Raw genomic sequence first — 22,133 nt, forward strand, 5'->3', positions numbered from 1 at the left:
TAAATAAAATTGCCAACAGGCAAGTGGTTCTATCTGACTAATCCCATTTTGAAAAGGTATTGAAACTTCGTTGTCTTTGATAACATTAAATGGGTAAAATATAGCATGCTCTTTCATACAACTTTACTATATCAAACATTATATTCTACCTATTAAAATCCATGAGTACAAAACTTTGTATTTACAATGATTTAAAATTTTTACAAATGAAAAATAACAATCACCTTACTGTTACTCTCAACCTTTGCATAGCTTAGACCTGATTTTATATCTATTTGAGATGCCTCAAATAACCCCAAAAACAAATTAATAGAAAATTAAATCTTACAAAGAAAAATTGGAATAGCCTCCATTTTCATGCTTTTTAAGATGGAGAAGTTCTAAATCCATTGATTGTTTACTCTGTATAGGCATTTTTCCAAGTACTAGAAAATACATTACAAGAGCCTCTAATGTTTCCTTGCCTTCCTTATATTTTTAAGAGAAACAACATTACATTCATCCAAAGAGAAAAAAATAAAAAATTTGGGCAGCTAATGACCATTCAGTAAATACAAAGGCTTTGGGGTTTTTCCCCATTGCCCTTGCAGGTATTTTCAGGCCTTTACTTCAGGGAAGTTTTCTTCCATCTCTGCTCTATGCCCGCCCTTTCTTGCCCAGTCATTATTCTCAATTAGCTATTGCTATGGACAGTCATTATCTATTGAACCCATTTAGAAACTTAGCCACAGACTTTATTAACTCCAAGCTTTCAAAGATACTGACTTTGCTGGCAAGAAGCATAACCTTTGAATAAACAAGCCAGGTTTGCTCGTAAGTATCACACTTTTAATTTCAACCAACATTCTTCTTTTTTCTGAAAGTTAGTACCTGATTAGAGCTGTTCTCTTTGCTAATTCAGCTCTCTGGGTAATAAATATTTTATCTTATCAATAAACATGAATTTCTGTGATCCAAAGATATTTAGATCCTTAATTGGATAGTACATCTAAATTGGTTAATCAGAGTGTTTTCTGGCAGTTTCTGAGTTAAAGTTATACTTCGTCTCTGGTTAGCCTTTGTAATATTCAAGATGAACAACTTAAAATTCTTAGTTCAAACTACTTACAATCTGTGTTAATCAAAATGCTGTAATTAAATTGGGCATGGACTTATTCTGTAACCTTATCCACTTTGCATTTAAGTTGTCTCTACATGAACGTTTGACACTAGTACAGTCTTTAAATATTAATGCATAGGGGAAAAAAAAAGAAGATGAAAGGAACAGTTGGAGCCAAGAAAAAGTAAAAGATAGCAAGGAACAATTGTTAAAAAAAAACAAAAAACCCTTAAGAAAGTTAGGAGAGTATGCAAAGAAAAATAAACTTGTCAAAGCAGTTACTTACCAGCATAAAGTAGCACAATTTATACACAATCTAAAGCTCTAAGGAATGAGTAGCCATAACAAGCTTTTGTACACTAAAGATTAGAATCCCTGTGAAGCAGTTTCTCATGTTTTCCTTTCTCTGCTTTTGTATTTTACTTTTAAATGATCACAAAGCTACAAAATATGTTAAAATTGAAAGAAAGCAAAACAAATACAAAAACTTTTTTTTTTTTTTACTTTCATGTATAAGGAAAAACAGCACACATCTAAAAGTCTGATTTTGCCCCTCTAATAATCAGGCTCCCTATGGTTTTGGTATAAAATGGTGTAGATCCAAACAACATCACAAAATAATGTTTTGTGCCCCACACACAAGAAAAGGCTTCTTAGCATAATCTATAAAAGTTTCAAGTGGTTATGTTGCCAAATAGCTTGGCTTTTGCTATAAAGAAAAAAGAAGGAGAGTGCATGAATCTAAATGTATAGCTAGTGTCTCTCCTTCCTCCAGATAGAGAAATTATATTTGTTGAGACACTGCACTGTTGAGATTCGTAGAGAGAGTATGCCCTCAATTTCACTGCACTATGCTAGTGTTCATTCAGCTGATGAAGTTCTCAACTCAAAGGGCAACATCCACTTTGTTCTAAGTTCCTGCTGGAATGGAAAAGCTGACAAGGGAAAACTTACACAAAGGATATTGTGCTGTTAAAGTTTGTTCAAAGCCACACTTGTCAGATCTCTTTGAAATGAAATTGAAAAGGAAAAACCAATTTTCTTTGAGGACAAAGTTCATCTCATTTGGTGTGCTGCACCTATCTAATTTTCTTCTTTGAGAAAGAAATCTTGACTAGGAAAATTTGAAAAAATAGTTTATAGCAGTACAGGTATGTATCATAATGTTTAATTCAGACCAGTGTTACATTCTGAGAAAATAAATATAAGTGAATTACTGCCTGTTTGAAGCTGTGATAAATACCTAGTTTGGCTGAAATTATTAGACACCATTATTGTGTCTCCAAAATGTCTCTGAAGGGCAATAGTCAGAACTATCCTGAAATGAGAGTGCTCTAATGTTTTCTTTTGTCAGTAGTGTGCAGATGCCCAGTATGATTCAGTACATTATCAAATTGAAAACCAAGATCCTTCAGAAGAGTTCCAGGTAAATATCTTGTATGTTTCCAAACTTGAAAAAAAAAAAGCATCTATTTCCAAGGAGCATATTATTAAAAATATAGAGTTATATTAAAAATATACAGTTATATTAAAAATAATAACTGGATGTTTAAAATGCCACCAAATGATGCTTTGAATAAGTTTGTATCAATAGCAAACAAAAGAGCTTTCTGTGTTTGATTTTACAATTTCCTGTAAATAGGAGTGTTATAAGATTCCAGGTCAACTTAAAATAAGAAATAAAAGTGAATATGTCACTTAAACTAGAAAGAAATACAGCTGTGACCCCCAGACAAGGTCTTATATTCAAGACAGAAAAATGTTATTTTAGTCAACAGACAAAAAAAATGATGAAAACAAACCCAAGGGTAATCCTCTCCTCTAATGCATTTTGTCACCTATTTCTCTCTCTTAGTCTGTGTTTCTATGTCAGCCTTCCTTGTTCAACCTCACCCTATGTGATTGGCTACATGTTTATAAATAAATATATAGATAGATGGATAGATCCCATTTATTGGCAATAAATGATTACAAATGAGGAAGTATTTTGAAAATGGAAAGGAGAAGCAAAATTATATCTTATCTGTTAGATCATGGGAAGCAGAATATCTTAGCTTTTGCCAGAATCTCTCCAGAAATGTATATTCTCTAGCTTTCTTCTTTGTGATGTTTTCCACTTGGAACTACATTGCCAATCCCTTTTTATTTGTTCTGTGTCCAAATGTGAATACAACTGGATTCTTTTGACTGTTATTATTCTGCTTGTATCTAAACAGATTTTTTTAAACATATCCACACCCTTTGGGTAAAGTTTAATTCCTTTTAAATACAGTGTTCACCATGAACTTGAGAGCAGAAGGAAAAAAAAAAAAAAAAAAAAAAACCAAAACACTGGCGATTGAAACATTCAGACAGCAGCTACCTTCCTTTTAGAATTAAAATTCAAATGACCAGCTGGGCGTGGTGGCCAATACCTGCAATCCCAGCACTTTGGGAGGCTGAGGCAGGCGGATCACTTGCAGTCAGGAGTTCAAGACCAGCCTGGCCAACATGGTGAAGCCCCGTCTCTACTAAAAATAAAAATAAAAATAAAAAAATAAAAATTAGCTGGGCATGGTGGTGCGTGCCTGTAATCTCAGCTACTCGAGAGGGTGACACAGGAGAATTGCTTGAACTCAGGAGGCGGAGGATGCAGTGAGCCGAGATCCTGTCACTGCACTATAGCCTGGGCGACAGAACAAGATGGTCTCAAAAAAAAAAATAAGTAAACAATAAAAAATAAAAATTCAAATGACCAAAGTCCTGAAAAATCAATGGAGAATCTTCTCAGAGTAGAAATTATTTAAGTGAAAAGCAAGCTTTCTGATTTTCATCCCATTTTTGTTTAATTTTTATTTCCTTTTTGCTCCATCTGTTATAGAGTAAATGTGTTTCAATTTAGTGAAAACATCTTCGGAAATTAACCATTCCTGTTATAGTTTAAAAATTCATTCTATTTGTGCTCAATATTTGTAAGAATCATAATTTGTTATGTGCCTGTGTGTAAATTAATCTGTTGTCATATCCTTCAAAGTCCACAAGTCCCAAGTAGTGTTTCTGGTGGAGCACCATCTTTACTTCACATGCACTGTGCATTCCTCTTGTGCCTTCTTATAGGCCCCCTAAATATTAATATTTGCTGAATGAATAAATGAAGATATATGGCTTTCCCTCTTCCTTTTGAACATCACTCTTTGTTTTTCCTTTTATAATGCCCAGTGCACTAAAGTCATGTCAGAGGAAAGAATATTCCCTTCTTCACAGTCCGTATACTAATTAGATACTCTTCTTTTTGGCCCATCTTCCCCAAGGGATAGTAAATGAAGCACCCACTCTATGAGACCCAGTTCTTTCCTGACTGAGATATTGTCTATAGGCTTCTTGTTTACTTCACTAATGAGTTTTTTCTCTGTAGCTTTTACATCTTTATAGTAGGTCATAAAGAACCTCTAACAGAAAATGAACCAATAGTAGCTATATTTTATTTCATGTTTCTATAATGCCCCTGGTCACAACCATGTCTGTTTCCTGTCCTTTTCTTTCAATAAAGGCTTACAACTTGGGATCAAATCATGTGTCCACATTTGCTGCATAGAACATAGTATCAATGCATTGGTGCAAAAGCCATTCTGCCCAAACTCCTGTACACACCACTCATTCAACAATATTTCTAGACTCTACTGTGGGCTTAATGCAGTGCTTTGGAGACTATAAAGAGGCACACTGAAATAATCCCTACCCTTAAAAGAAGAGATAATTTTTTGTTTTCTAAAGTATTTTCACATTAATTACCTCATTTGATTTCCTATAACAACCAAGAGAAGCAAGGAGAATAATTGTTACTACAGACATCTTCCAAACGAGAAACCTGAGCCTAGAAATTGAAGTCACACTACCAGTTATGCCAAGACCTCTACAAAAGACCTAGGACTTTGATTATACCATTGAATAGCTTCTCCTTTCTACAGCATAGAGAGCCAAGCATCTTGAGTGGTGAGTTGCTTCTCAAGCTGCACAAAAATATTATAAATATTTCTCACTTATAGAATCTATAACAGGTCATACATTATAGGTATTTTAGACCTAAATGGAACCATTCAGTTCCCAAGGTTTGTAGTTTCTAGCCCTGCTAAGCATCAAACAACAATCTATTATTTGAAGATCAGCAATGATAATTCTCAAAGCTGGAGAGTTTAGAAGATAACTACGGTTATATATTCCCTCATTCACCTTCCTACTTTTTTGGTCCTACCTCATTTCATTATCCTTACTGCAATAGCCTTTTATAATTATCTATCTTTCAATCTCCCCTCCCACACACCTATCCATTTACATTCTGTTGCCAGGTAAGCCTTTCTAGAGTATAATTATATTTCAGTAATTAAGCTTTGCAGAACACTTGGAATGTTCCCCATAGCCTACTGTATTAAGTTGAAACTCCTTAGCCCCTTCATAAACTGACCACAATTTACCTTTCCATCCTTTGCTTAGCCTGCAGTGCAGATCTACAACTTCCTGCTTTCTGTTCACTTTCCTCCCTTTCCCACCTTGATGCTTTTCTTGCTATTTTTTCTGCCTAGAATATTTACCTTCATCCAGACCCTTTTCCATGCTATTTTTAGCATAAATAACAATAAAATCTTTATTATAAGCCTCCCCTGAGGCTCCAAATAGGGATAAATATAACTTACTTTGAACACACACACACAACTTTATTTCTTCCCTGGCATTTATGAAAATAGCACAGGTTTACAGACAAAACAGACAGGCAGATGGAATTAAGTTTAAATCCTGACCTGGTCAAACTTGGGCAAATTATTTAACTTCTCCAAGTATTCATTTTCTTATCTAGAAAAGCTTTGCATGTTTTTTGTAAGGATTGATGGTTATCCACATACATGCTTTTAGTCAATTCCTAGCATATATTAAGACTCAATGAATGTCAGCTCTTATTTTTAGATTCTGTTTTGCATTATATTTGTATCTGTGTATATTATACAAACATCAGTATATTGTCTGCTTTCTGTGAGGGCTGCAACTATGGTTGCTATTTTCATTTTTCGTCTTTGTATCCATGTAGCTCTTGAGAGCAAAACCAAGTTTATTGGCAGTGATTATTAGTCCCACCGCACACCTATTTATCATAGCTGAATTATGGACAATATCCATATCAGTGAATTGCAAATCCCTAGTAATCCTTAGTAGCGATACCATAAAATACACTGTCCTTTCAGTTCCAGAATAGCAAAATCAGTTGGGTCAACTTATAAATCTTCTAATTATAGTTTCTTAGTTAAAATTTGGTCAGATAGGAAATCTAGGAAAGCCTCAAATGCAATTAATATAGCTCAGGAAGTCAGCCATTTAGATAGCATTGGCAGCTATAAAGATAGAATGGGACTAGAAAATTGTTTGCTCTATTTCTCCAGGATATTACTAGGTCTGCTTTTATGTCAGTCCAGGCTGTGCCAACCATGGAGAACATGAAGTGGTAAACCAAAAAGGTTGTAAAGTTGACTGCACCCAAAGTAAATTGGATAAGTTCCATCACAAATGTGCTTTTAGTTGGATTGAAAAGAAATGGAATGTCATGAAGACTTATGGAGGGGATTAGATGATGTCATCATAGCCCTCTCTACCGAGGGTCTATAGGTCATACGTAATAATTATAGATAATTATATTTATATATGTATATACACACATATGACCATTAAAGGAATAATATAATTACCAATTTCTTCTCAGCTTTAAAATTGGTATACCTAACAGAAAAACATATCTTTTGGACTAAAGTATCTGAGAAAAAAGGCACTATCTATCTCTGTTTTTAAGTGAGGGCAAAATTTTTTTTTTAACATATAATGTGTTGGTGAAAGGATTTTGTGGGCACTTATACATCTAGAATTTGTTTTAAAGTGAAGTGGGAATTAATTAAACCTTCCTATTTGGGGATGAGAGTGGCATTTAAAAGCCTCTAAAATATTTACAATCATTTATTCACTTTGTCATTCTCAAATACTTATGGCTAATTCTAGTTATTGTGTGAATCATAGACTAAGGTTATAAATCCAGGGCCAGAAATACTTGCTACGAGGCTATTAATGTAACCGAGGTAAGAGGTAACGACAGTCAGATTTGTGGTAAGGGCACTTGGTGGGGCAAAATATGAAGTAGCTGGGCCATGTGATTGTGCCTCAGGCATAAAGGATTCTCAAATTTTGGCTGCTGCCTTTGTAATTTGTATCAGAGATCTGTGCCTCATAATACATATAAACTAATGTGGAATTATGTTCATACCCTTCCTCTAATCCAAGAGAGAGCTAAAAGCGATAGGATATATCAAAACGAGAGGGAACTCAAGCACTCTACCATGTTTCCTCGCCCTTACTGATACTCACATAGGCCTGAAATTAGAGAGAGAGAAGCAAAGACTCAGGATTCATTCAGGTAAAAAATAAAATGAATGGGAGTTGATATGTGCTTTGACATGGGACAGAGGGGGAGAAAGTGAAATATAAGAATCTAACAAATTTCTGGCTTTGGTAACTGGATGGACTATGGCACCATTTGTGGAAATGGAGAGCAGAGGAGGAAGAGCAGATTTTGGCGCTGATATTTTATATTTACTTTTGGACACGTTAAAAGTTAAAATAGGGCAGGAAAATACACATATCCTGAAGGCCATTAGGCTTTTTGAGTCTGAAGCTTAGGAAGAAGTTGTTGCTGGATTAAGGAGTCATCAATGAATGTTGAATTATATTTTCTACAGGAAAATTGTTTGTTTAACTCAACAAGAGGACAGAACCCTCAGTAAAATAAACATTTGATCTTCAGGCAGAGAAAAGAATGCCTTAAGAGGAAATGACCAGGGAAATGGGGAATAAGGAGTGACCGAGATCACGAGAATGAAGTATGTTCAAAAGGAGGAGGTCACTACAGTGTTAAATGTTGCTGAGCTTTCGAGTAAGTTAAGTTCAATAAGGTTTCCATTTGCTTTGCTTTAAAAAAAAAAAATGTCCGTAGACGACTTTAAAAGAAGAAGCATCAGTGGCGTGAGGGGCCTGGAGTCTGGCTTTCTGTATGATGACAAACGTCTTATATAATTTTCCATAGTTAAGAAGCTTGCCTATGGAGGGGAGCATAAAGGATTTGAATGAGAAGAAAGTTTTTCAATTTCTTTATCCCTCTGTTTCTAATATATTGTATGTTCTTTTATTTATGGGTTCACTGATACAGGAATGGCTTAGTTTGTACTGGCAAATAAGAACTATATATATAGTTGGCATAGTTCTAGTTTTGACATTTCACACTAGGTACCCAATGACTAAGAACAGAGAAGTTTTTATATTAACTTTGTGTTGACGTCATAGAATAAAATAATCAAAATTTCTTTTTTTACTGTACTATATTCAGCAAGTCTAGTCATTGGAATTTGCCCCCACATACCTTCAGGCAATGAAGAGATTCTTTAATAGATTTCCATATTAAAGGTAATAGATATTTTATGATCTTCAGAAAATAAAATGAGAGAATAAACATGTTAGCAATAAAAATTAATGGTTTTAATTATAATTTTTCAGTTTTTAAAAATAGGTGTTGGAAGAAATTTTAGTAAATTCTATTAAATAATGTACCATGTCTCACCTTTATAGTAACTTCCATGATCCTGGGTGTAGAATTATATGATGTATGCTGCTTAATGGAAAACTGTTGTTTTTTTTCTTCAGAGCATGAAATAGATTTCATCAATATGAAGAAATACATACAAATCAATTCTCTTGGTCTGTAAGCTACAACTAGAATTATGTGAAGTACTTTAGAAACTGCTTACTTTTTCATACCACAAATAAAATACTGTGAGAACCAACTGTTTGGCTTGTGACCTCATTGTATTAATGCTAGATAAATGAAAAACTACTTATAGGTGTCAGTTATCACAATAATAATATTTAATATCTATATAGGGCTTTACAACTTATGAAAAAGTTAGACATCTGATATCTCAAGTAAGCCTCAGAATGATCCTATGAATTAGTCAAGGCAAGTATAATTATTGTCATTTGATGAAAAGGAAACCGAAGTTCAGTATTATTGTGTGGTTAGTCCAACTGCACTGGGTTTAGTGAGTGACAGACTTGGAAGTGTTTAGGAACAGTGAAGCAAAATAAATTTTTCTCTTGAATTGTTTCTAACTATTTTGGGAAGACCAGCCATGTGAAACCTTAAAGAACACTATAGGACTGTATACAATCAAGTGCTAAATGAGCTTCACTTTATGCAAATCCACCTTAACAGGTCTGACAACCTGTAAGGTCACTTCCTTAGTAGTGCTATAATTACTGGTTTCTAATGCCTTCCACTAACAGATATTTCTTTTTTAAAGAAAAAGACAAAAGTTTCCAGTATCATAATCAGATTATTTGAATCTTGTTACGTCTGAAAACATCTATACTATGCAGGAACAAAGCAAAACTTGGGCCTATGATGTCAAATGGAGAATTGAATCAGAGCCAATATGTGTGTTCATTCCTAAAGCCAGAGTATTTGAAAAGTCTTAAAAATATGTTTTTATAAAAAGCCTCATAATTTTTTTTAAATTTACTAACCTCTTATTTCCAAGATGCTTCTTTATCCATTCTAGAGACATCTTATATTTTTTTAAAAGGCTTACATTTATTGATGGTTGAATCCAAATAGTATTTAGGATGACATGGCCATAGGATCATATCCAAAGCTTATTCATGCTAACCATATTTTATTAAGGCTTATCTCTTAATTAAATAGGAGATTATAGACTATGGTAGTAGGTTATTTGATGAGGCCATGCACTAGATTTTAAAATATGGATTAGCAGACAAGTCAGTCACAAGTAGTGGTAATACAAATAAGAAAACACAACACAAGATATTAAAAATCAGCAACACAAGATGTTGTTTTGAGCTCCCTCTGCCTTTTTGTTCTGAAGGTTTACTTAAATTAATGAAATGCTGCTATGTGGACTTCAGTTTCTCTCAGGGATAATACAACTAGGCCTAGGCTACGTGGGATATGCTACCTCTGCTCTGTAAAACCAATCCAGTTTTGCTATCAGACTCCTCTTTTGTTTTTACAAACTTTTATAAATAGCCATCCCTATTGTCATCTAGATTATTTATGTCTGGCCTCCATGTTCCCTGAGCTGCCTTCTGATCTGTGGAAGGTCTCTCTGTAGCTTAAAGAGCAAAAGCTATTGAGGCAGAAAAGCAAAATGGCATGAGATTAGCGAGAGCAGAGTTTCTTTCCCTTTGTTCACCATGTCACTTGGGCTGATGACTTGACAAGACATCAAAAAACAGTACCTGGACAGGAATCAACAATGAGAAGATAAGAGTGGTAAAGGTAAATGGAGCTGAAGAGAACAGAAGCACAAATACATTCAGCAGTGTAGCTGAGAAAAGTCCATTTAATATATATTCACCATCAGGTTGGTGATGGGTTTATAAAGTCAATGACAAATGGTCTACTCATTGGCTTACTTCTAATTAGACGTATGCCTTAAATATGGTGTCATTTTACAAAATATGAGGGTCCTGAAGTTATAGTCAAAACCTGAGCTGTGTGCTCTTAAAAATTCTTCAAAGGCCATGCTCTTGTCTTCATAATCAATCAAAGAATTTGAATCTCTCTTGGTCCTGTGTTCTAAGAACGCAACCAAATAAAGGAATTTCAAACACGTATTGGGTAACATGCTAAATGTTTTAGGAGTTTGTGAGAAAGGTGAGATGTGAGAGAAGTACAAGTCATTGCTCCTGCTATTAAGGGAGAAATAAAACATGATTCAACCAGAGTTGAAAGGAAGATAACTTTAACAGGAGACCGGAGAAACATAGAAGGTACATTTTGTGTTGGAGGAGCTGGAAATGCCTTTTGGAAAAAGTGGGATGTGACTCAGGTCTTAGTACATGAATAGGATTTTCTTAAACATTGGTGAACAGAGAAAACTTTCCAGTTACATGGAAATAGGTGAATGAATCATGACGTGTGGAATACTCATACTGTGTGGGAGGTCAGCTGGTAGAACTTTCTGAGTAGATTAAAAAAAATTCAGTAATAAACATTTTAATAATTCTTATTACATTTGAGCACTGATAACAGAAGCTTTATATACTTCATTATAGACCCCCACAAGAACCGTGCAAATAGGGATTATTAACCCTTTTTTTGTCCCTATGTGTTTTTTCTATTAAGTAGGCATGACTCAGAGGGGTTAAATAAATGAATCAACATCCTGTAGTAAGTGACATAATAAGGATTTGCATGCAGGTCAAGCTGATTGACCTAGGGGAGCCTACTTCAGTTCTTCCTGCTGCCTCCCCCTATTATACAAAAACAGTCTCCTGAGCTATCACAGAATTTCAGTGACTCTAGCCCCTAAAATTCAGAGCCAGTAACATAATGATGTAAAAGCAGAATAAGGCTTGAGATGAATTCCACCTTTGTTTTTGTTAAAATGGGGCTTCAGTGGAAGAAAGAAATCTAGAAATGCAGTTTCCTTTATTGTGGGCCAAGATAAGTGTAATTCCAAGAGCATGTGCCCTGTCAGAAAACAAATTAGGAAGAGTTAAGAATACTCCCAATAGTATTAGGGTGCAAACCCGAATCATCTCCAATCACTTCACTCAGAGACTGCACAGGGTCTTTGATTATGGTCACACAGTTAAATGTCAAGAGACCAGTTGCCCTAAACCTCATTAACCTCCACCATTTCCTATCTTTTACACACAGTAGATGTCTACATTAGTCTTCATTTTCAGATTTTCTGTTCCCAGACTTCATAAAAGAAGAATTTGCAAATAAGTTTTTATCATCATTAACAATACTATCGCTAAAGGGCATATGTGAAGTTTTATGATGGTTTAGCACATTAATATTTTACAATCAGGCTTTAACATGCTTTTATCTTTTTTACACAAGATTAATATCCTGCCTGAATTAGTTTTATTACATGCATTTTCAATTTTTACTAAGCTGATTTTCCTGCACTAGAATTTGTTTTTTTCCTACAACTTTTTCATTCTCATCTGTAGGACTTAATACATTTTATCCATCTTAATTTTTTTTTCACAGTAATGCAAGGATTTTCCTGTTGCGCTGCCATTTGCAATGCCGTCCCATTAGTTAATCACACCATTCGGTGTTAAATCTTTTATTCCACACAACATTTACAGTTTTGTTATCTCCGAAGCCTATACGATTGCTGTCATGCCCATGAAGGTTAAGTAAGAATATAGATTTAGCAAATAACTAATTTGATAAATACCGGCATCAAATCAGGTAATTTAGGGTTATATTTTTACTTTAAGGAAGATTACGACTTTCATCAGAGGAATGCAAAAAGTAACACATTATTTCATATTTAGAACCACCCTAAAATACTAGAAAATATTTCAAAGGTGTTCAAAATAAATTAAAATCTTGAAGTTAGTGCTTTTTATTCTGAAAAGTCTGATTTGCACTCTTACACCTTTCCAATCTCTAATTTATTGAATAGTAGAGTGTAGACACAGCCTCACTCCTGGCTTGTTTTAGTATATCAGAATGTGGAAATCAAAGTTTGGAGTCTCAGTTGGACCTGAAAATATACACTTGATTGAAGCCTAGCTTAGCCTAAGCAACACTTAAGGATAATAGACAAGGTATAAAAGCTTATGAGTCAAATAACAAACAATAGCAGGAAACGATACCCACACAATAAAGGAATTGGAGAGACATCGATGCAAATTTGATCTTGAAAAAGAAATCAACCAGTATGTTCATATCTATCTTATCCCCAACAGCTACTGCGATCTCTTATACTGGCCTCTGAAGCAATGCCTCCAAAAACATATCCCTACAGCAAAATTTTCCATGCTGTGTTCTGGTATTACTGGGCCACCCGCCAAATGGTTGGGGAGACAAATTAATATTCATAATGATAGTTTTAATGATTAAAAATTATATAACATCCCTCACCCTCAAAGGGAACTTATTGTATGACTGAAACCTCTCAGTGCCTTGATCCAGAGGCCCAAGTCTTCATCATTTTTTGCAGGCCAATGAATTAGTTACTTTGACAGTGAACAAGAATAATTTCAGATGGCAATTAAATTATGCACACATAGACAAAGGGGTGAGTGAGGCTACAGGTCAACTCCATACACGATGTTTTCTATTGTCCCAATTTTCCCTCTTATTCTTAAGTGATTAATTAGTTTAACCCAATTGGCCTTAGGTTAAACTTAGTTAACATCCCTCTGCCTTCATTTTTTATTTTTATTTTTTATTATTATTATTTTTGCTGGAACTGTTTAAGCAGAACAAGATAAATAGAATTCCAGCTAGCAAAATCTTTACTTCTCAACTCCATTCTTCCCACTGACTAATCTTAAAACAAGAAAACTAGTCCATATAATCAAGGTTGAAAAGAACCTGTATACTGCAGAAATCATCTATCATCATACTCCCCCATCCAAAGAGAGCATGGCAATCAGAGGCAGAATAATTTGATTGGCTGGAAAACCGACATCAATAATCTTCTCTGTTCTATAAAATAAAACAAAGTGTGCTGAAAATATGATAGGAGGAAAAAATTTTATAACAAAATTCCACTTTTAAGTAGGATTTCAGCAAGTATTCTGCATGACATGCGATAGGTGGGATCTGCAAAGATGCACATAAAACAGAAAACTTACTTGTGGGAAACCAAATATTTTTGAAGATGGAGTTGACAAGAATCAAGCTCCAAGATTTTCACCCAGATAGAGAAAGCAGGACCATGTATCTGAGTTATAAAAAACAGAAACCTTTGTTCTTTTCATAAAACAGGAAGAAGAAATCCCCATGGCAGTTGGTATGTGTATTAGCTGCTTCTTGTGTGCTACAGAAACAGATGCCATTTTCTTGAGGGATAGAATAACTACTCACTGAACCCCATTAGGATAGCTGAATGCCTCTCCATGCATACTAACTACTTTGCTCACAAACAAGATGGTGGATGAGAGGCATAATTAATATGATGTGGACTGAGAGAAAACACTGTGGGGAGTTTTGAATTGTGGCAAGGCAGATAAGGTAACTCCTAAGTGCCAATTCAATTACTATTAGAATTCATCTGCTACTCTCCACTCCACTTCATATTTAATTATTTCAATAAAGAAGTGGAGTGATTTTTATCATTTCTATTCAATTCCCCAATGCACTTATTTCTTCCCTGGACACATTTATTCTACTATATTCTCTGCTGCTTTTGTGTATAGATTTGGAAAATGAACTCAAAAGACCAGAGAGCTGAGGATAGTTGGTATCAGATGTCTCTTCCCTGTAGATTTAAGGGGAAAAAAAGGAAAAAAAATGTTTTGCCAGTTGTGGTTGATTTTTTTCAAAATGTAGAAACTATTTAACCAGAGCAGCCCAGGCTTTTGTTTCTCAACTCTGTTTGGAACCCTGTGCATTTGCTTGTAGAAAGTCAGACTTTGCTTATCAGTGGTTTTTCCAAGCTTCTGTTTTGAACACTGTGTGTTAATTCTAGCCACTTCCATTAATTTTTTTTGAAAAAAAAAACAAAAGGAAAAACAAGAAATCAAACATTCAGCAGCACCTTACCTCTGAAAGTCTAATTATCTCTATGCGTATATTATCTGCTTATTCTCAGACTCCCCATGAAATGATGGGGTACAGAAGCTATTAATTTCCTGTTGATAATTCTGGGTGTTGGCATACAGGGAGTGAGTCTTTGTCAACAAGGGGCTCCTCATCTAAATCTGCTGGTACCTGGAGGGCAAAGTGGAGATACCATATAGCCTTATTCTATGGTTTTCAACTACTCCATAATCATCATAGAGTATTTGACTTTCAAAATTGTCTTCCTCTCTGAATTCTTGGTCTATGAAATTTGCAATTAAGTAGTTCTAACTTTGTAATTCGTTCCACAAAGACTCAAAACAGCCTTTTCTGCCTTTAGTCTCTAGAGTCAGCAGTAATGCAACCAAAATTGGTGAGAATTCACTCTCTCTCTTAAATATCAAATGATAAATTCAGAACCTTGAGAAAGGACCCCAAATGCACCCCCTTCTGTAAAGCTAAAGCTGACACTAACAATTCATATACCACTGAAGATCAGAGCAATCATTGAGCCATTCTTTGTGTTGCTAGAAAGAGTAGATGAGATTTAAAAGAGATCTTTTCTCCAGGGATATGAAACATGGCTTGGGAGTCAGACCACCTTGGCTCACATCTTGGCTCTTCCACTTACTGAGGATACAAATGTGGATTGAATAAACTAAGGATTAGTGCTATTGTACAAAAACATACAGAAAAGTAACTGGCATGTAGTAAGTGTTAAAAATAATTGGCTGCTATTATTGTTGTTGGGGTTCAGAAACAAACCAAAATATGGCACTTTGACATGCTGAACCAAGGAAACCTCAAGGTCTCCCTGACTGCCCCTCCGCACCACCCTGCCACCCTGTCTCTTAGTCTTCTGCCTCTCAGGAAGCACAGGATGCAGTCATTCTCTGAAGTGCCCTCATCTGCCTAAAATCTTGACCCACCAAAAAAAACAGTTACCTCTGGTTCCTTCCCCGAGTATTCATTAATTAAACTCATATAACAGGAAGAAAGACTAATCTATCAACACACCTGGACAGACTTGTTGCAAACCACTGTCTGCTCTTCGAGCCCAACAGACTTTGTCCCAGGCAATTGTATGTTCTTTAAGCCCATTCACTTTCCCAAAACATCATTTATTATACATCTAAAATCATCTACATTTCCACATCTCCCTTTCCTCTAAGAAGAAGGGTATATGTAACCACCCAATGGGTTTTTCCTGCTTGTGGCACAAACAAAATCAACTCACCGAGACCATGTCATTGCATGCAGAAAAGAGTTTGATTGACACGAGATCACCCACACCACATGGGAGACAGGGTCATTACTCAAAATGATCTTCCCAAAGGCTTGGAGGTTAGGGATTTTTCAAAGATAGTTTGGTGGGCAAGGAGCTAGGGTAGGAGGCATGCTGATTGGTTGAGTTGCAGATGAAATAATAGGGAAATTAAGCTGTCCCCTTGTGCTGAGTCAGTTTCTGGGTAAGAGCCACAGGACTGGTTAGAGGGCCCAGATGGGGTTATCCCTTGTCGGAAATGAAAAAAAACCTGAAAGTACATCTCTAAAGGTCAATCTTGTGTTCTACAATAGTGATGATGTTATCTGCTCAAGTAACTGGGGAAGTTGTAAGTAAATCTTACAAACTACAGAATAATGGCTGGTAATTATTTAGAATTCAAGACCCTCTCATCCTCCTTAGTTTCATTAGTTTTATAAGAACAGTTTAGTTTTGGGGAAGGGCTATTATCATTTAAACTGTAAACTACATTTCTCCGAAAGTTAGCTTGGCTTACACCCAGGAATAAGCAAAGACAGCCACCCTCTGAGGCTAGAAGCAAGATGGAGTCACCCATGTCAGATATCTCTTACTGTCATAATTTTGCAAAGGTGGTTTCATATATGAGCATCTGTACCCCATTGGCTGAGGGGTGATTACTCTGTAATTTCTCCCTAGGACCCTCCTGTGCACATTAACAAACCTGTATGACTTTTCTCCTATTAATCTTTTGTCAGTTGTGATTTTCAATAAACCTTCAGAGGATGAAGGGGAAGTTTTCCTTTAGGTTCTACATTGTTCACAAAGGTTGTCTATTGATGACTTGTTTTCCCTTTATGGGCTGCCCTCTATGTCCATTTCATCCTATGAAATGCATTCGGGCTTGAGGAGGCAAACACACAGTGGACATGTTTTACATCTCCCATGCTTTATTTATTCTACCCATGTCCTCATTCTTGGCTCTGGTTGGGGAATGTATCATATATATATATATATATATGTATCATATATATATGATGTATCATATATGTGTATATATATGTATCATATATATGTATCATATATATATGATATATCATATATATGTATATGTATGTATCATATATATGTATATGTATGTATCACATATATATATTCCCAAAATCACATATATATATGTGATTTTGGGAATATAGATGGAAATTATCTGGAGCTAGAAATTCCTCCCACTCAATCACCCCTTGATATCGCCAATAGTAAGAATGAAGATGGACACAAAGATATCTTGATAGAGACACATAAGTGTTTTGGTGAATCAATATTGCTAGTTCTGCTGAGAAATGGTAAAATATGATTTAATTGTCCTGAAACCCCCAGCAACTTATGAATCCACATCTGTCTTTGCTTGTGCTCCTGTGGATCCTCTTTCTCTTCTTCCCTCTCTGGAAGGCCTTACTAGAAAAGAAAACCCAGAGTGGTTATGTCCCTGCCATGGCAATACTCAGTCTTCCCAGGTGAGATGAAATTCCACAAAAGATGCCCTCTGAAAGCCAGAATCTTGATCCTATTGGTCAGAGTTCTTCAGTCAGTCCAAGTATGTACACACAATAATATTGCTAAATGATACTCTAACTTGACATTGTGTAAATATGACAAAAATAATGTTCTAAAAATGGCTGAACTATCCATCTTAAAGAAAAATATATAGACTTCAACAGATATATTTATAGAACATCAAATTTGAAAGATAGTGTATCCTTTAATAAAACTCCAAATTCCTCACAGTAAAAAAAAAAAAAAAGGACAATAACTTTTAATCAATGAGACTAAGAAAATAATTGTCCAATCTGAATCCTCATCTCTGAAATATATGCATTTTGTTTCTTTCTACATAAGCTGCTCTGCATTTGCCATTTTGTGGCTTGGGATCATCGATACCAAGCCTTGATCTTTTCTAAAGCATTTACCAAAAGTAGAGTTGTAAGGTTTGAATAATTAGATTTCCAGGAACACTTTTCTTCCACCCTTAAGAGAGATTGTGTTTAACTTGAATGCTTTAAGACTGCATGCACATTTTCCGTACATTCATCTATTTTCTCCACAACAAAGCTATTGAAACTGCCTTTGCAAGAATTATAACAGTGAGAAAATTATGACAGTGAAAGGGATCTGATCTAGCCAACCCCCATCTTGCCTTTATTCTCCAAACTGCCCTTAATAATTCCTGGGCCTGGGTCAAGCTAACTTTAGGAGACATTTAGTTTATAGTTTAAATGATAATTGTTCGTCCCATAAACTAAACCATAATTGTTTAGTTAATAAAAGACCATCAGGTTAGGAGGATGAGAGGAACCTGAGTTCTGCTAATGTGCAGACATAAAAGATTACCAGATATTATTTCGGAGGTCCCAAGATATGCAACTTCTCCAATTACTCCTGCAGATAACATCACTACTGTAAAACGTAAGATTGGCCTTTGAGATGTCTTTTCAGGTTTCCGTGTTTCTGACCCATGGATGGGTGGACAACCAGTGACTCCATCTGGACCCACCAAGGGGTTCTGTAGCCCCATGCAAAAAGCAGATTCCCTGGCCTGCCAAACTTTCCTTGAAACACCCTAGCCTCCAAATTTTCATGGAGATTGATTTGAGTAATAACCATCTCCCACATGGCACAGCCAGCCTTGTGTCAATTAAAGTCTCTTTACTGCAATGCCCATGGTCTCAGTGAACTGGTTTTGTTTGTGCAGTGGGCTGGAAGAACCCCTCAGGCAGTTACACTATGAATATCTCAAGAAAGAGGCTTTTTCTACTAACTTTGTGTCATCATTTTTATCACAGTCCCTGGCACATAGGGCTCTATAAGAATTTATTAAATGAGTGAATGAATAAAAACAGTCAGACTTACAAATTTTCCATGTGTTTTTCCCAGTGGCCCAATGAAGGGGTATGCAAAAGAAACTTCTCCAATTCCAATCCAGACTTGATTCTCAAAAGGCCTTTTCAACTAGGCCTAAGATTTCCCAGCTACTATTGGTTTCTCTCTATTACCTACCAGAAGTCACTTGACAATATTCCAAAGAAGAAAACACTACCTCCTCATCTAGAAGGGAGAATCTTTATCAAAATCAAAAGATCCATTTCTCCCCATTTTACGAGGGGCTACTCAATACCAGCACAGTGATCAAATGGTGGAAGATGTCCTAAAATACCTTCCGGTAACAGGGTAGTAAAACTGTCTTGAATGACTGATAAAGGAATGAAAGTTTTAAAATCTTTACTCATTCATCAATCCTACATTTTAGAGTGTCCCATTTTATTGTACTGATTAATCATATATGCTCAGAAGAAGTTGGCAAAAGCTATCAAAAGCCAACCAGTATAACTTGAATGCCAACTTCACAAAATAATCAGGGTCTGGTGGGATATGTCATAAAATATGCCAAGATGGGTCATTCTAACGCACTCTTGAGAGAATTATACATATTCATTCTCTTCATTTAGCACCTGAATGACAACAGACGGGTGAAAGCATCAGAACCAATGCATCAAACCAGACAGTTACCATTGTGAACAAAATATAAAAAGAGAATGACGGGGCTGAAAAATGGTTAAGTCTTCTACTCAGACATTGCATGCATTGCTCTCTTTTGATAGGGAAATGAAGCTTGCTGAGGGAGAGAGACCTATGTCTTATTGTCATTCCTGCTTACAGTTTGGTGGCAAATTGACATGAAATATATATTTCTTAATAGAATTCACCATAGCTTTTTAGTCTGTTTGTTTTAGAGACATGGTTAGGATAGAAAAACCGTCAATCTAAACTAAATGTTTTCCTTAAATATCTAAGATTGTCTTTGAGCAATGGAGGGCCCTATTAATCACTAATGAACTGCTAAATGCCACCTTCAGCTGAAATAATGATAGGTAAAATTATACCGTGACACACTGAGTGACAAAAAACAGCCCCTTTACCTAATTTCCTGGTGTGATATTGGACTACAAGGCATTGTTTTTAAAAAATGAAATAAATATCTAATAGAATCTGGTAGAATCAGATCTATTTCACTGTATGTATATGTATGTGTTGTATGTATATGTTCTTCACCTAGTTTTGACAGTTGTCTATAATCTGTCAGGCCACTAACACTAACCTCCACCTGTTTACCTGTCAGATCTCAATGACGAGGGCCCTGTTTTCTGTAATTAAGATAACCCTACTCATTCTGGAACTATGTAATTTTACACAGATAAGTTAAGCAAAAATAGTAATTCAAACTCTGGAAAGTGTTAATATTTTCAGAGACCTACAAGTATTCTCTTAATTGCTCTATATAGCTTTCAGGAATTGGACGAAGTGAGAAAGGATCCAACTTCCCAATAGTACTTTTGGAACATAAAATAAAGGGTGGAAGAGTTGGTTGCCTCTTTGAGTGGAGTTTGCAGAGGTCATTCTTAGGCCTTCACAAAGAGTATCAGTGCTGATAAATTAAGGAGAATGTTCTAGACTCCCCTGAGTAACCTGAGCTCCTGCCCTTGGCTAGTTTTTGCCCTACTTAGCCTTCACCCAAAGATGCCCTAGGGAGTCTGCCTCATGTATTTCATTCCTGGAATTCTGGTATCTGTAGTATTCCTGGAATTCTTGAATCCTCTAGGAATGGCTTCCTGGCCAGGGCTTCAAACTTCTCTCCTTCCGTGGGACCTGGATTTCTTATTCATCTATGGCCTTTTGTATTCTCTTGTTTTACCTAGCTAATGTCTAGAATAGATGGCTTGCCTCACAGAGACAACACTAACACTGGTTTGATGATCAAAGCAAGGAAATCAAACAGCAGACTAAATTGGTAAGTCTAACTAAGAATAATCTCTGCACTTCAGTGAAAAAATTTCTCAAAGAAAAAAATCTGTGTTGCATAGATTAAGAAAAGTTTTTTGTAGATATTTAACTTTAGCCTTTTATTTTTTAGCTTTCAGTGTTTCCTTATGGTCTAACCACATTTTACCTCAAGTAAATTTTTTTCTTTTCCTCTTTCTGTTAATTTGAAGATATTTAAAGGATGGCAATAGAAAATTCTGAAGTTATAACTGTCGCCTATAAACTGCCTGGGCTACTTAATTCTCCCCTGAGTTTCTCACCTTTATTTTTTTTCTGCTTTTTTTTCCTCCAGTTATTATGGCTCCTTTTAAATATCATTTAATTCTAAAAGCACAAATATTTTGAAACTACATGGCCTGCTGCCTAAGTTGAGACAGTGAACAAAATCCTCAGACTCTCAAAATATCTACAAATTTTCACACACAGTATTTAAGGGAAGCATTTAGTTTCCTATCCTTGGGAAGGAAAATGGTTAATGTGAAACCTCCTCCCATGCGCCACTGCAAAGCTGTGGAGGAGTCTAAGACTTAGGATTCTCCTGCAACCCTTCCCCAAGAGGAGAGGTTCAGAGAAGAATGAGGAAAGTTCTATCATAGCACTTGCTGGTTCTATCAGTCTCCTATTGAGGTGTGAACCAACTCAGTAACTCAGTCTTTCTGCTGGGCGGCCCATAATTGCACAGCAGGTGCATAACCACAGGTGGCTTTCAACATTTCTTCTTGTATTCAACTAGAAGTCTTATTACAGTGGAAGCAGCTGAGAGAAGTAGAAGATGGCAAATAAGAGAACACATTGAGTGGAGACTTGTCTATGATTCTGCAGCTCTTTCCTATCTTCATTTTCTGCTGCCCTTGTGCCAACAAATGTTTCTGCCCTGTCTTGTCTTTTTCATCTCCTTGCTTGTAACTTTAGCCTTAAAAGGATAGACCACTTTATTTGTCTCTTGGCAAGCTATCATTAATTCATTCATTTAATAAATATTTGTTAAGTATCTATTTTTATCATGTATTATTTTCAATGTTGCAGAAATAGCAAGGAAAAATAGACAAAGTTCCTGTTCTGTAACATATATTTTAGTGGTAAAAGATAGAAAAAAGGCAAAGATAGATTTGTTGAATCTTGCATTACATCCATATGTTGCATTTTTAATTACAGTTATTGTAATTTTCAGTTACATAATTTTCATGACTCTTTTTAATAGATTCCCCATCTTGTCATCTATATTCTTAGACATGTTTATCATGTTTATTTAAAAGTCTGTATTTAGTAACTGCAAAATATGGATGTCCTGTAGATCT

The sequence above is a fragment of the Homo sapiens genome, chromosome 14 (genome assembly GCF_000001405.40).
Source record: "Homo sapiens chromosome 14, GRCh38.p14 Primary Assembly".
In the NCBI taxonomy this organism is placed as follows: Eukaryota; Metazoa; Chordata; class Mammalia; order Primates; family Hominidae; genus Homo; species Homo sapiens.